The sequence below is a fragment of the Homo sapiens genome, chromosome 10, assembly GCF_000001405.40.
Source record: "Homo sapiens chromosome 10, GRCh38.p14 Primary Assembly".
Taxonomy (NCBI): Eukaryota; Metazoa; Chordata; class Mammalia; order Primates; family Hominidae; genus Homo; species Homo sapiens.
This window is the reverse complement of record NC_000010.11, coordinates 26683516-26699491: the sequence shown is the minus strand read 5'-3', so window position 1 is coordinate 26699491 and position 15976 is coordinate 26683516. Positions and strand designations below refer to the sequence as shown.

The 15976-nt window shown below is 41.3% G+C and overlaps 1 protein-coding gene across 5 annotated transcripts in view, besides 3 other annotated features; it reads right to left on the bottom strand.

Moving 5' to 3' along the window:
- Positions 1-1791, bottom strand: part of PDSS1 (decaprenyl diphosphate synthase subunit 1) — a 49098-nt gene extending 47307 nt beyond the window's left edge. For all 5 annotated transcript variants that reach the window (NM_001321979.2, NM_001321978.2, NM_014317.5 and 2 more), the window contains exon 1: positions 1652-1791. Coding sequence is in view for 4 of the 5 variants with exons in the window: in NM_001321978.2 (NP_001308907.1) it covers positions 1652-1780 (129 nt within the window). In the remaining variant the exon portion in view is untranslated. The remainder of the gene's footprint in view (positions 1-1651) is intronic.
- Positions 736-1624: an enhancer, noted in NCBI's record as "H3K27ac hESC enhancer chr10:26986797-26987685 (GRCh37/hg19 assembly coordinates)". NCBI's record gives its function as "activates a minimal SCP1, AML or CMV promoter by ChIP-STARR-seq in naive H9 embryonic stem cells {active_cell/tissue: H9 hESC(naive)}" and the evidence as "EXISTENCE:reporter gene assay evidence [ECO:0000049][PMID:30033119]".
- Positions 736-2118: a biological region, named in NCBI's record as "H3K27ac hESC enhancer GRCh37_chr10:26986797-26987685".
- Positions 1499-2118: a silencer, noted in NCBI's record as "silent region_2238". NCBI's record gives its function as "represses an Ori minimal core promoter by ATAC-STARR-seq in GM12878 lymphoblastoid cells {active_cell/tissue: GM12878}" and the evidence as "EXISTENCE:reporter gene assay evidence [ECO:0000049][PMID:35858748]".

The window sequence follows — 15976 nt, the reverse complement described above, 5'->3', positions numbered from 1 at the left end:
ACCTGGGAGGTGGAGTTTGCAGTGAGCCGAGATTCCGCCACTGCACTCCAGCCTGGGCGACAGAGTGAGACTCTGTGTCAAAAAAAAAAAAAAAGAAGAAGAAGAAGAAGCATGTAGTGGCATAAGAGGGTGGATGCACCCATCTCTTCAAATACTGGCTTCTTCTGTGGAACTAGAAATATCTGAAGTCTGGAGAGAACAGTCCTGAAATGGATCACAGCAAAGCCTACCTTCCTCCTCTAAGCCTCTTCTCCCACATGCCCCTCACCCCCCATATTCTGTTCTCTTTACTCTCTAGCATTGTCTAGTTGCCCAGCTGCCACTTGGTCTCCAAACGTCTTTTTTGCTTTAGATTTTTTAGAGATAGGGTCTCACACTGTTGCCCAGGCTGGAGTGCACTGGCACTATCACAATAAACAGCTCACTGTAATCTTGAACTCCTGGGATCGAACAATCCTCCTCCCTCAGGCTCCTGAGTAGGTAGAACTACAGGCATGCACCACCCCACCTGGTGAATTTTTTCTATTTTTTATAGAGACAGAGTCTTGCTATGTTGCCTAGGCTGGTCCCAAACTCCTGGCCTCAACCGATTCTCCCACCTCAGCCTCCCAAAGTGCTGGGATTACAGGTGTGAGCCACTGTGCCTGGCCCAAGCCTTGTTTTGGATAATTTGTGATACGCATCTACTTTGGTACAAAGTAGATATTTATAAGTGTTATATATTTCATACTGGGAAATGATGTTTGATGAGAACACGGACACATAAAGTATACCAAATCTGAATTAAAAGAGTACTAAATTCAAATAAACTTAAGTAACAGTGAGTCCATAGATTTTGCACGGTTATGCTAATAGCATGGGCCTACCCCATGGCACACTGAGAATCATTACAAAGCGCAGAAGGGCTCACAGTGTCCATTTACAGGGGCTAAACTGACCAGAAAGGGAGAAAAAGGAGATCGGAACCCAAAGGCAGCAGAGGAGACCCTGAAAGAATGGGCTATCGCTGAGATTCTGACTTTAGATGACTCCAGGGTTTCTCTCCTCCTGACGGCCTCGGGCCTTTCTCCTTCCAGTGTCATTCCAGCCCCATCCAGGTGTGCTCTCCTCCCGAGGCCACTGCTGGACAACTAAGGTCCGGTCCACCCTAGCACCAGCCCTGCATTCTCCACAAGACCTTTTCGGACTATTCCGAGGCCGATTCGATCCTCCGTTTCTCGGAGAGAGCTCTGAGCACTTTGGCTCTAAAATTTCAGGCAAGATCTGTCTTCCTCTAACTCCAAAGTAAATAGCTGCAGTCGCTCTCCAGGCTTAACCTTGTCCATATAGCAGCGGTCAATCTGATCGCTCCTGCGCTTCCCCCAGGACACGGATCCCACCGCTTTCTCCACCCCCCAAAACGCTCCCGGGGTCCCCAGGACACCGCTTTCTGCAACCCCGTGTAGGGCGCCCCTACTTCAGTCCAACGCGCGGCTCCGTCCCACCGCGAGCACCCCTCAGCTCCGGAGTCCCACCCCGGAGCTACCCCGGAGCTACCCCGCGCGCCCCCGCGTCGCGACGCACGTGCTCCCCGCTCCCATTCATTCCGCCCACTGCTGTCATTGGAGCCGTGACCTCTGAGCCCCGCCGGGCGCGCGCCTCCCAACCTCACCTGCGCGCGGACTTCGGCAGCGGCGCTCGGCCCCAACGGTCCCGCACGGCCGGGGGAGCCGGGCCCGGGGCTCCGCGCCGCCGGCTTCCAGGAGCAGCCGCGCCGCCACCGCCACCAGCGCGAGGCCATGGTCGGAGTCTGAAAGTCGCGGCAGGGCGGCGGCTCCGCCTCTGGCCCGCGATCCTCCTCCCGGGACCCGGAGCCGGAAACCTGGCACAGGAAGCGCTTCGGCCAGGCCCGGGAGCGCGGTTCGCTCTTCCTCGCTTGCGGTCCGGCTGCCGGCGCGGACACTTCGGGTGTCTGCCCGTCTGCAGCCAACGGGGACTGCAGCCGCTCCCGGGAGGCGACGGGGCAGGGGCGTGCGGAGACCTGGTCTGGGGACCCCGAGCGTAACCTTCCCCGGGGCGAGCCTCCTATCCCCACCTCTTCCCGGAAGCTGTGCAGGGAGACTGGCCACGCCTGCAGTCATAGCAAAAATGTCCCTGTGGGGACCTTTTATTAGCAAGAAATACTACCGCGCGCCACCCTTGCAGCCACGAACTCTTTTGTTCTGCGTGTTTAGGCAGAAACATAACTCAGAGAATGGGGTTCCCGCTCCGCAGCCTAAGCCGGAGGCGACGGTTTCCGCTGCTGCTTCCCTTGGCAGTGACCTGACACGCCCTGGTCGGCTGCCTTTTGCAATCTGTTCTTGAAGGAAGTTCCAGCCCATCGCATCTTCCTAGAAACAAGTCCGACCACGATCAGGGTTGTTGTGAAATAGTAGCTAAATTAGCCGGGTCTCGTGACTTTTGGACTCTCCCCTCCAAACGCCTTATAGGTATAGTTTGGCAATCTTGCTCACACCTGGGTGTGAACCTGCGTGTACCCAGCCCGGGAGATATTGGAGTCTGTACAGGATTAGTACCCCTTATGGGTTAGAAAGGCCTTCTTTCCTTAGCTCTAAGGCCAGATCTACTGGTGCTAAGAGACAGCGTGTTCCGAACAGAAATTAAGTGATATAAACATTCAGCGCATGCACTCAAACACACAGAGCCAGTGAGATAGGGGGTAAGCATTAGAGATAGAGAAATGCAATTTAGTCCTCAAAAAATTCACTCTAATGAGGAAATAGACCAGCAAGTAGGTAATTGCAGTTCTCTGATTCATGTATTTTCTTGTTCTTGGGTTAAAGAATGCGGTAGCCTCATAGCTGGGTACATTAATTTCATATTTAATCGTGTGGATTTTTTATGGAATGAAGACATCATAGACTATATAAAGACATCTATGAAAATAAGCCAGTTTGATGGTGTTTTTTCCATCTTGAAGAATAGTATGTAAAAATATGCAAAGCTTTATGAGTAAAGATTGTTAATATGCACCTGTAGCTTATCTTGGTTTAGATTAGGTTTATATATTAAGAAACATTCATAAGGTGGAATTTGCCAAGTAGAGTGTAGCAGTAAGCACTTGGGTTGTACTTGATCCTATGACTAAGACATTATCATTTGCCCTTTTTTGTATATAAAGATAAGGAAACATATAGAGGAAATACCGTATGGTCAAATAAGTATCACACTCAAGCTCACCCAGTTGTCAAGTATGTCACTACACAATTTTGTCAGACCATGTTCGTTTAGAGATTGCTTGGCCACATTAAAACAGAAAACATTGCTCTTAAAAAGATGCTGTAGGTCGGGGGCACAGTGGCTCAGCCTGTAATCCCAGCACTGTGGGAGGCCGAGGCAGGTGGATCACTTGAGGTCAGGAGTTTGAGACCAGCCTGGCCAACATGGTGAAACCCGTCTCTACTAAATATTCAAAAATTAGTTGGGCATGGTGGTGCATGTTCTGTAATCCCAACCACTTAGGAGGCTGAGGCAAGAGAATCACTTGAACCTGGGAGGCAGAGGTTGCAGTGAGCCGAGATTGTGCCACTGCACTTCGGCCTAGGTGACAAAGTGAGACTCCGTCTTTAAAAAAAAGAAAAAGAAAAAAAGATGCCGTAGTATTGCAAGGCTAAGTAGGGACAGCAGCTGAAGTTCCTCAAGACTTCCAACGTTACTGTATAGCTAAACTCTTGAGAAAAAACAGTAAGCTACCAATTGGACATACGGAATTCACAAGTAGTTCTTTTGACCCCACTAGGCCAAGCATGAGTTGAGGAAGTTAAAAACACTATCTGAGTTATGCAGGTAAGTGCTAAAGAACAGACTTCTCTTGTGCAGTCTGAAAACAACTTTAGTCTATTTTGCTGCCCTTAGACAAATGAAAAGAGCCAGTACAGATGGATCAAAATGGCCTATGTGTAACTGAAAGCGATCAAGGTTGTCGTTTTGAGGTTGGAGTGTTAGGTACCCTCCAAGACATTTTCTTGCCATATTGATGATACTGTTTAAAACATAATATCTACAATAGGAACAGGTTTTATAGCCAAAGAGATTGTAAATATAGTACCAGGCCAGACACAGTGGGTCATGCCTGTTATCACAGCACTTTGGGAGGCCGAGGTGGCAGGATTGCTTGAGGTCGGGATGTCACGAACAGCCTAGGCGACATAAGCAAGACCCTGTCTCTACAAAAAATAAAATTAGCCAGGCGTGGTGGTGTGTGACTGTAGCCCTAGCTACTCAGGAGCCTGAGGCGGGGAAATTTGCTTGAGCCCAGAAGTTCGAGAGTTCGAGGCTGCAGTGAGTTGTGATCATGCCACTGCATTCCAGTGTGGATGAAAGAGTGGGACACTGTCTCCAAATAAATAAATAAATAATCCTATGTATTACTGTGTCTTGATTTACAGTACTGTGTAAAACATCTCATCCTGATTTTACTAAATAAATGATCAATGAATTATCCAAATTATCTTACTCTGGTAAGCACATTTATTGAGAGAAAAGGTTCAAACATTTGCAGTGAAAGATTAGTTTCACTAACCTTTTGTTTGTTGTTAGTTTTTGTGGATTTCATAGTCTTATGCAAAACGGAATTCAAAAGAATTTAAAGTTGCCAGTACTGATTTTCCTGAGATCTTAAGAGAAGGGGTTAGTATGCTTTTGGAATTTTCTCTGGGGTTTTTAGTCTATGACTCATTAGCTTGTTAAAGCATCACATGGGTGAGGGTTTAATATGCCTGAAATAGCCTTTTTTGTTCCATGGCTGGTGATCACATCTATTGACCAGCAGCTGTCTTGCCGGGACGTGCATCGAGTGGTACAAAATGATAACTACTAATGGAATGTGATATGCTGCCCCTGCCCTACCAATGTTAGAGCATCATAAAGGAGATTGTGTTAATTATATAATCTAGTTCATTCCACTCAGAGGCTCTCCCACAAAAGCAGAAAATATACTGTTGGTTCTTCCACTTATAATCATATTGTCCGATTTTCTGGTGTGAATGCTAAAATCTGCCACTTTTTGATTGAGTACACATTTAATCCCCCAGGATGCTACCTTATAATACATCATGGACTTAAGGGAACATATAAAGGGCTAAAAGTGGCCCATATGGCCCATATTAGCCTGCTTTTATTACTGATTTGAATAAGATAGAAACTTGCTGTTGTAACTGATACTTAGTTCACTTAAGCCTGGATGGAATAAATTGGTGTTACTCCAGACAGTGGAGCAAATTATCCTAATGCTACCTCTCTCCAGTGATTTGAAATGTTATTTTCACTGTATAGGAAATTCTTTTATAGCTTTTGGTTGTTTCTGCACTTTTTATTGAGTTCCACTGATCTTTACATCTATTTTTAGAATAGCAATAGTTTTTGTTATTGTATTCTTTTAATTTTTAATATAAGCAAACTTGTTTCTCTTAAAAAATTTATCGTTTATTTTTTCAGATTTGCACACTAAGATTGTCTATTTCTTCAAAAAAATCCTGCTAGGCTATTAATTGGATTCCTATTATGTTTATTAAATAATTTGGTGACACATTTTGACAATAAATCTGTATCCAGAAACAAGTTTTTTTGTCCCTTAGTCTTATAGTTTTATTAATACACCTACTGTCTTCTATTTTTTTTTGTTTTAATTGCTTTGGATTGGAAAAACAGATGACGATTTTAGGTGTTATTTATAAAATAAGAGTAAATATGTTTTGAGAATCTAAAGTGTGTTCAAAGCTTTCTTTTCCTCTACAGCTTTTAAAATATGGTAAATGTGTTTCAGTGTATGGACTTTATGAGACATAGTTTGTTTCTGCAGAGGCAATTTCTAAACTTTTAGCTTTGTGGGCGGGCAGCTATCATATGTGGGATCTACAGCAGTTTTGTGCATCTAGTAAGCCATGTATTGCCTGGTCTTAAGGTATTTATGTCTCTTGTCTACCTGTTTCCTTTAGCTAATTGTGTTTCCAAAGGGCAGAATGCATGTGATTGTGTGCCTAATGGATTTTGGTTCCATTGAATTAACTAGTACTATACTTGTAATTCTGTAATGCAGCTCACCTCCATTTAAAAATATATATTTGTTGGCTGGGCGCGGTGGCTCATGCCTGTAATCCCAGCACTTTGGGAGGCCGAGGTGAGCAGATCACCTGAGGTCAGGAGTTTGAGACCAGCCTGACCAACATGATGAAACCCCATCCTTACTAAAAATGCAAAATTAGCCGGGCATGGTGGCACATGCCTGTAATCCCAGCTACGTGGGAGGCTGAGGCAGGAGAATCACTTGAAACTGGGAGGCGGAGTTTGCAATGAGCCGTGATAACACCATTGCACTCCAGCGTGAGCAACAAGAGAGAAACTCCATCTCAAAAAGAATATATATATATATATAAATCTGATATGCCTTCCAAGAGTGAAGATCTTTGAAGACAGGGTATGTGTCTTCCTGTTTTAAACCTTTTCCATTTCCTAGGCTCTTGAACAGTTCCATGATATACTGACCTAAATGAATGTTGGCTAGATTGTGTTGAAATTACAAAGTAGCCTTTAAATAACAAAGCATGAAGAAAATAGTGACTTGAGTTTCTTGAAGAACCATAGACTTTCTAAGGGATATTAGTGCTGTATATGCAACAAATGAGAACATTAAGAAGGATGTTTATTTTATCAGCTATGTTGCCTGTTGATCCTGTTAAAGAAAATTATGTTCATAAAGTGGAAAACTGTATTTTATGTATCTTTTTCTGAACTCCTTTCAAATCAAGAGTACGTCTTATAGCAGTTTCAAAGGTTAGGCATTAGTTTTTCACAACACAAATACTTAACTCACTAAAATATTTGTTTAAAATAATTTTTTAGAGTTAATATTATTAGTCTAATTATAAATGACTGTGTTTAAAATTCAAATACTTGGAGATGTCATTCTTATAAATCACACTGATACTTACTCAGTTTCAACTTAAAGTTGTCTTACAAGAAAAATATGCTTTTGTGAAAAAGAGGAAAATGAGTTAAATTGTTATCTTACATATCCTTTATCTAATGGTCTCTAATTCTAAATTTTTCTCCCATGACATAAATGAATTTGGGCTAAAAATAGGACTTTTTTTGTAGTTTCTTAAATGAATTTGTCCTAGGAAAAATATTGTTTTACCATGCATCATAAGAAAGCCATAAAAATTTTAGAACCATCTAGTAGAACTAATTTTTCCCAAATAGCATAAACATAGACAGTATGGTACATCTCTTATGAAAAAAATTAATAATATATTTTCAGAAGAGGTTTATTCTTTGAATTTTCTTCCATTAAGTCTCATTCTTAAAAATTATTAGGCCGGGTGCCCTAGCTCCATCCTGTAATCGTAGCACTTTAGGAGGCCAAAGCGGGAGGATCACTTGAGCCCAGGAGGTTAAAGCTGCAGTGAGCCATGATTGTGCCTCTGCACTCCAGCCTGGGTAACTGAGTGAGCCTGTGTCTCAAAAAAAACAAAACAAAAAAAACCCCAAAAAAGTGAAAGATGACGTCGGTTTGTAAATTTGTTTTTCCTGCCTCAGGAAGTTCTAGAAAATATTTTGGACCTTGATTTATCTGTTTCAGAAACAGATGATTTTATCCACCTTGTAAGTGGCGAAAAGACAGTGTTTGGATCTGTTCCACTGGCTCACCGATATGGGGGCAACCAGGTCAGAGTAGCAACATCATAACTTCCCTTATGCAAATAGAATTATTTGATGGAAATGCTGTCCTACTGAAAAATTATTTTGCATTAAGTTTTAAATTAGTGCATTGGGAGTTCAACAAGATGTGTCTAAAGGAATATGCCATCAGAAGATGTTTATAGATTAGCTGATGTGATTTCTTGCTGTGCTAAAGCTAGAGTCTAATTCTTTGAATGGAATTGAGAATACTGGGGCAGCATAAATATAAAATTTCTGTGGATTATTGCTAGAGAACTCATTCAGTGCACTTTTGGCATTTTTGGCAAAATGAAGTAGTACAATGTGTCAATATAAAAGGACAAGCCGGGTGCAGTCGCTCACACCTATAATCCCAGCACTTTGGGAGGCTGAGGCAGGCAGATTGCTTGAGCCTAGGAGTTCAAGATCAGCCTGGGCAACATGGTGAAACCCTTCTCTACAAAAATTAGCCAGGCATGGTGACACGTGCCTGTGGTCCCAGCCAGTTGGGTGGCTAAAGAGGGAGGATCGCTTGAGACTGGGAGGCAGAGGTTGCAGTGAGCCAAAGTTGTGCCACCACACTGCAGCCAGGGTGACAGAGTGAGACCCTGTCTCAAAAAATAAATTAATATAAAACAGATAAAAAGAAGGACAAATAGATTATAATTATATCAAGATAGCCATAGAACAATGTACAACTACTAGAATGGGAGTAAATCAAGATTCCTTGGGGGTGTTATTTGTGCTGCAGAAATCAGGAAGGAATTAAGGAACATTCTGGAAATTAAGCAAGATGTTAAGCAAGAAATTAAGCAACAAATTCAGGGTATGGTATCTGACTAATTAAAAACAGAAACGGGAACATAGGACCAATTGTTGTGACTGTGACTTTCCTGTAAGCTAGATAAGATTAACACTCTCTGGTGGTTTGGGGGCTTTTTGGTGATGCTGGTTTGCTCAGGAACAAATTTTAAGACAAATAGTAAAGTATCGTAGGGTTGGTGTAGGATTAAATTAGGAAATACATGTAAAGTGCTTAACATGTTAACTATTACAATTATTATAGCATCAGGTTCTGGTTTGCTGGGTTAGTTATTTCCTTCCTTCTTCAAAGTCCTGTAGACTAAAAGACAAAGTAGTCAAGCCATTAGGAGGACTTTAAGGGTCACCTGTGACAAACTTGAACATCAATTTATTTTTCTTTTCATCTTTTAAGTTCAGGGGTACATGTACAGGATGTGCAGTTTTGTTACATAGGTAAACGTGTGCCATGGTGGTTTACTGCACAGATCATCCCATCACCCAGTTATTTATTTATTTATTTATTTAATGTATTTATTTTGAGATGGAGCTTTGCTCTGTCACCCATGCTGGAGTGCAGTGGCACGATCTCCGCTCGCTGCAACCTCTGCCTCCTGGGTTCAAGCGATCCTCCTGCTTTAGCCACCCAATTGGCTGGGACCACAGGCACTTGTCACCACGCCTGGCTAATTTTATAGAGACAGGGTTTCGCCATGTTGCCCAGGCTTATCTTGAACTCTCAAGTAGCTGGGATTACAGGTGCATGCCACAACGCCAGGCTAATTTTTTTTTTTTTTTTTTTGTATTTTCAGTAGAGACTGGGTTTCACCATATTGGGCAGGCTGATTTTGAACTCCTGACCTCAAGTGATCTGCCTGCCTTGGCCTCCCAAAGTGCTAGGATAATGGGCATGAGCCACTGAGCCCAGCCCCCATCACCCAGTTATTGAGCTCAGCATCCATTAGCTATTCTTGCTGATGCTCTCCTTCCCCCCAATCCCCCTACAGGTGCCCAGTGTGTGTTGTTCCCCCTGGCATATCCATGTGTTCTCAGTCAGCTGCAATTTATAACTGAGAAGATGCAGTGTTTGGTTTTCTGTTCCTGTGTTAGTTTGCTGAAGGTAATGGCTTCCAACTCCATCCATGTCCCTGCAAAGGACATGATCTTGTTCCTTTTTATGGCTGTCATGGGTCAGACCCTTGCCAATGTTCAGTGATTTACCAAGCACACATTTCATACTTATTATACTTTATGCATAATATGTGTCCTACTCCATTCAGGCTGCTATAACAAAATGCCTTGGACTGGGTAATTTATAAACAACAGAAGTTTATTGCTCCTAGTTCTGGAGTTCAGGAAGTCCAAGATCAAAGCACCCATAGATGTGGTATCTTTTGAGGGTTCTCTGCTTCATAGATGGCGCCTTCTCACTTCATCCTCACATGGCGGAAGCGAAGGCAGCTCTCTGGGGCCTCTTTCATAAGGACATGAACCCCATTCATGAGGACGGAGCCCTCATGACCTAGTCACCTCCTAAAGTCCCTATTTTCTAATACCATCACTTTGGTGACTGGGTATCAACATAGGAGTTTTAGGGGGATGAATACTGTCAGACCATAGCAGTGTGTTTTTATAAGATTTCCATTTAAAAAATTCCCCCCAAATATTCATGCTTAAAGAAATTATGGGTTATTTATTTCTACAGCATCTCTTTCTCTCTCTCTAATTTCATCTGGATGAAATGATACTATTACATGTGGGTCTATAACTGTGTAGGTCTTTTTGCTTTTGCTGATTGGATATGACATTCCAGTCACAGACTATTGGTATGACTGGTATAAATAACACTACTAACTTTTGTGGCTGTGACATGTATATTCAGTTTTTCTGAATTCCAAGCCACAATCTTAATGGTTTAAATTGTCTCCAGTATTACTTCTATTAGGACAATAGTAGAATTTTCATCTCTAGATCTTCACATATGCAGAGATACTTCCATTGTGCTTTTATCCTAACATTTGCCCAGGAGCCACTGTGGTACAGTGAGAATAGTGCTAGATAGGAAAAAAGAATATGTGAAACCTAGAGCTGGCCCTGCAGGAACTCACTTTGTGACTTGGGCAAGTCACTTAAACAATCTGCCCCTCATTTTTGCCATCTAAAATGAAGTTAGGCTGGGCAGGTGGCTCATGCCTGTAGTCCTAGCACTTTGGGAGGCCAAAGTGGGAGGATTACTTGAGCCCAGGAGTTTGAGATCAGGCTAGGCAACATAGGGAGACCCTGTCTCTACAAAAAAAAAAAAAAAAAAAAAATTAGAAAAATAATTAGCTAGACGTGGTAGTGCATACCTGTAGTCCCAGCTACTTGGGAGGCTGAGGTGGGAGGATCCCTTGAGCCTGGAGATCAAGGCTGCAGTGAGCTACGATCATGCCACTGCCCTCCAACCTGGTCGGGAGAGTAAGACTCTGTCTCAAAAAATAAAATAAAATAAAATAAAATAAAATAAAATGAGGTTAGACTAGAACCCCCTGTGTCTTTCAGTGTTAATATTGAGGAATGTGATTCAGTGGCTGTTCATGAAGTAAACATTTAGAATAATAGATTAAGCTTATATGCTTTTTCAAAGTGACTACATTTTATTGCTCAAAAAAAGACACATGAAAATAAATATCCAGATTAGTACTGTGGATGAGTCCTGTCTATATGAATGGTCCAGCCAACCCCAAAACTACTTATTGGCCATTTTCTGTGCCTGCCATTGGACCACACTTTAAGGGGTCCAGGAGTAATAAGTATTTCTTTAAGTAATTAATTAATTAATGTAGAGATGAGGTCTTGCTATATTGCCCAGGCTGGCCTTGAACTCCGGGCTCAAGCAGTCTTCCCGCCTTGGTCTCCCACAGTGTTGGGATTACAGGTATCAACCACCATGCCCAGCCTGGGAGTAATAAGTATGTCATAGTCCCTGGTCCCAAGAAAATCACAGTCTTTAAAGAAAAAATACTTAAACACATGGAACAAATAAACTATAAAAAATCAGAGGTCAGTTAAAGAGAGATGGATCAGGTTATCTTTATGGAGGAAGAGGAAATCGATCTTGAGTAGAAGGTTAGCTAAGATTTCAGTAGGGGGAGGACAGGGATTGGGTTGTGTGGCAGAGGGCAGAATAGCATCAACAAAGGCCCAGAGGTAGTGAGTGTGGGAGTCTATTGAAGGACAGCAGCCACAGGGCAGGGGCTATTACCCTGGTGTGGAATTCATCTTGACATCTAAACACCTGTAAGTACAGCATTCCTTATGAGAAAGAAACATGAGTTCTATTTACTGATTGTATTTATGTTAAAGACCTATGCAAAATAATTCATTCCCTTATTCAGGATCAAGTACAGGGAAAAGGTCACTATTGATGAGACAAGTGGGAAATCAAGAGTTTGGAGCCCCGCAGCTCGCTCTCTCAGCCTTTAGCTAGATTAGAGGCTTGCTGGCTGTAAAAGTGTGGTTCTGGACATTCTGATTCATTCTTTAAGGAATAAAGAAATACTCTTGATCCTTTATGGATGAAATTGGTTATTTTTCTGATAAATTCAGAGAATATATTATTTTTTATTAAAATAATTTTTAAGGAAAGATATTTTGCCGTATTCCTATAGCCTAATAGAGTTTTATGCTATAATAAATTTTTTTTTTTGAGATGGAATCTCACTCTTGTTGTCTAAGTTGGAGTGCAGTGGCGTGATCTCGGCTCACTGCAACCTCAGCCTTCCTGAGTTCAAGTGATTCTCCTGCCACAGCCTCATGAGTAGCTGGGATTACAGGCGCTCACCACCACACCCAGCTAATTTTTTTTTTTTTTTTTTTTTTTTGTATTTTTGGTAGAGATGGGATTTCACCATTTTGGCCAAGCTGGTCTCAAACTCCTGAACTTGTTATATATCTGCCTTGGCCTCCCAAAGTGCTGCGATTACAGGCGTGAGCCACTGCACCTGGCCAATAAATGTTTCTTTTTTTGTTTTGTTTTATTTATTTATTTATTTATTTATTTATTTGAGATGGAGTGTAGCTCTGTCGCCCAGGCTGGAGTGCAGTGGCGTGATCTTGGCTCACTGCAAGCTCCACCTCCAAGGTTCATGCCATTCTCCCTCCTCAGCCTCCTGAGTAGCTGGGTCCACAGGCACCCCCCCACCATGCCTGGCTAATTTTTTTTTTTTTTTTTTTTTTTTGTATTTTTAGTAGAGACGGGGTTTCACCATGTTAGCCAGGATGGTCTCAATCTCTTGACCTTGTGATCCGCCCGTCTCGGCCTCCCAAAGTGCTGGGATTACAGGCCTGAGCCACCACGCCTAGCCAAATGTTTCTCTTTAAGGTGCAGTAGTGCTGCATGCTGCAGGATCATGGTTCAGAACTGGATCATTAGAAATTTTGGCTCATTATGGTGAACTAGAGATACTGAGGTTAGAAAATTACATTTTTGTTTGTTTGCTTGTTTTATTTTGTAAGTCTATGATTGATTACCAAGAATTTAAGGAAATTGCATTTTTTAAGCTATGAAAGTGACTATTTTTCCCCAGCTTTACGCAGGTATAATTGACAAAAATTGTGTACATTTAAGATGTACAAGGTGATGTTTTGACATATGTATACGTTTTGAAATGATTACCACAATGAAGCTGATTAACGTATGCATTACCTCATATAGTTACTTTTTTGTGGTGAGAATACTTAAGATCTGCTCTCTTAGCAAATTTCAAAGGTACAAGGTGTTATTATCCACTATAGTCTATCCATTTGGTCTTCAGGACTTATTCATCTTATAACTGCAACTTCGTGTCCTTTGAACAACATCTCCCCATATCCCCTACCTCATTGACCCCTGGTCACCACCATTCCACTCTCTATTTCTATGAGTTGGACTTTTTTAGGTTTCCCGTATAAGTGAGATTATGCAGTATTTGTCTTTCTGTGTCTGGCTTATTTCACTTTAACATAATGTCCTTGAGCTTCATCCATGTTGTTGCAAATGGCAACATTTTCTTCTTTTTTAAGTCTGAATAAGAAATTACATTTAAAAAAATTGTACAAGACAGTTGGAAAAAATGCTTATTTATGTGCTGTGAAGTTAAGTATTTTCCATTTTCTTATAAATAAAATGCAATATTTCAAATAAATATTTGTAAAATTTCCTATTGTGCTAAGCACCATGTAGGTTTTTTAGGAGATTAATAAAAGAAGTATACAACCCAATAGTCCCGTTTCTCAAAAAACTTATAATGTAGGATGCACCCCAGTTACCAATGAGGTTCTCCATACCACTCACACACTAGGGAGGTGGGGGAAGTGACTCAAATTGCTCAATTCTGCAGCTTCTGGAAATCCAAAGCTCTCTTCCCAATTCCTGGGATTCCCCGGGTGTATCCTCTGTCTTGTGTCTCCTCTCTACCTGGACTCCAGCTTTGATATGTGTGATAGTACCTATTTCACACTGGGCTGACCCAGATGTGAAACTCAGCCCCATCGAAAGGATGAACACAAACAGCAAACCAAATGTACACAACGTCTTTAAGAACAGAGAGCATCTTGCTGAAGATTTCTGTGGGGAAGATGGAGGAGGGATTTTTTTTCAAAAGAGCAAAAGCAATAAATTCTTCCCCTTGGGTCATGCAGTGTGGCTTCCATCATTTTCCAAGATCTTGGTACCTGCTGGCATCTGTGCTTACAAAATCCCGTCTTCCTCAAGCCGACTTAGCAAGATGTTCCTTCAAACAAAAAGTCTTCTTTAGGAGGAGTTCTTTTTCCATTTGTTGAGTTAATACAGTTTTTAAAAGTTGGAAATACTTAAGAAAAAATGCCTTACACAAACTAGGATCATTTAGAATATGGATCCTATATTATAGTTTTCAGCATAGTAAATACAGATTTGGACCAGGAAGAATATGCAAAAACATGAAGGAAATGTATAAGAGCAAAGAAGTCATCGCACTTGTCACAGCTGCTCTGTCTCTTACCTCGGCAACATTTACTGAACTTCTGGTCATCCTGGCCGGTGGAGAGTTGTCTACTTTCACGAGGCATTATTTCTAACTACCATTTGCTTTCTGGGTCAGTTCTGCCTGGATTCACACCATGTCACTGAAATTGCTCCATCTAGTGGTCATGTTTCAGTTATAGTTCACGGATCTCTCTAGCATTTAATGCATATGATTAAGCACTTCATCCTTGACATACTTCCACTGGCTAATATGACATACTCTCATATACAGTGTGTGGTGTGTGTATATACATATGAGACATAGATAGATATTAGACAAATGCTAATCTACACTTACTATTTTAACTGGGTTTTAGTAATTTCCAAATCATATCTACAGCTGAAATTTGCTTCCAGATTTCCTCTTATTCGGTGCAGTCCATACTAGTGGTTAGGCAGGTAACTAGAATAGTTGGTTAAAATGGGAATAGAAAATATGATACATGTGCAGTTTATATATTTTATTTATTACATGTTTGCTGAATCCTGGTACAACTTTAAATATTTTAACCTCAGACATTTGCCAATTTTTTGTAACCTCATGTGTGAAGCCTTAAATGACCTACCACAAATAATCATTCTCTGCTCTGTTATCACTGTTCATTTTATATAATTCTGGTATTGCATTTATTATAATTTAACATCATGATTTCTTCATATGTTCTTCTTCCCTAGTAGAGCATGTACTCTTTGAGGTCTGGGTTCTGGGTCTTACCATTCTTTTTCCTAGCACTTGCCCAGGGCTTTACATGTAGTAGGTATAGCAGGTACTCAATGGATGTTTATTGAACTAATCAAATTTGAAACATAATAATGTAGAACCTCATATGATCTTAGAAACATATTTTGATTTTTGATTGGGATTGAAGAAATATTACTTTTTGGCTGTTTTGGTAGTAAAACCTTATTCTTCAAGTTTTAACATCTTGAGCCTGATCTAATGAATTCATAGATGTTGAGGGATTTAGGTACTTGGATATTGGATACTGTGTTCTGAGGGACACTGATGCTACGTCTTTTTTATCTCCAGGGGATTATTAGACTTCATCATACCGGAACATTATCCCTCGATGGATGTCAAAGAACCTAATAGATACGTGGTAAGTATTTATTTATTTGTTTGTTTATTTTTTTATAATCGCAACTTTTATTTTAGATTCTGGGGAAATATGCAGGTTTATTACGTGGGTATATTGCATAACCCTGAGGTTTGGGGTACGACTGATCCCCTCACCAAGGTATTGAGTAAAGTACCAAATCGTTTTTCAACCTTTCTCCTCCCCAGAGGTCACTAGTATCTATTAGTGCTATCTTTATGTCCAGGAGTACCTAATGTTTAGCTCACTCTTATAAGTGAGAATATGTAGTATTTGGTTTTCTGTTCCTGTATTAATTCATTTAGGATAATGGCCTACAGCTACACCTATGTTGCTGCAAAGGACATGGTTTCAT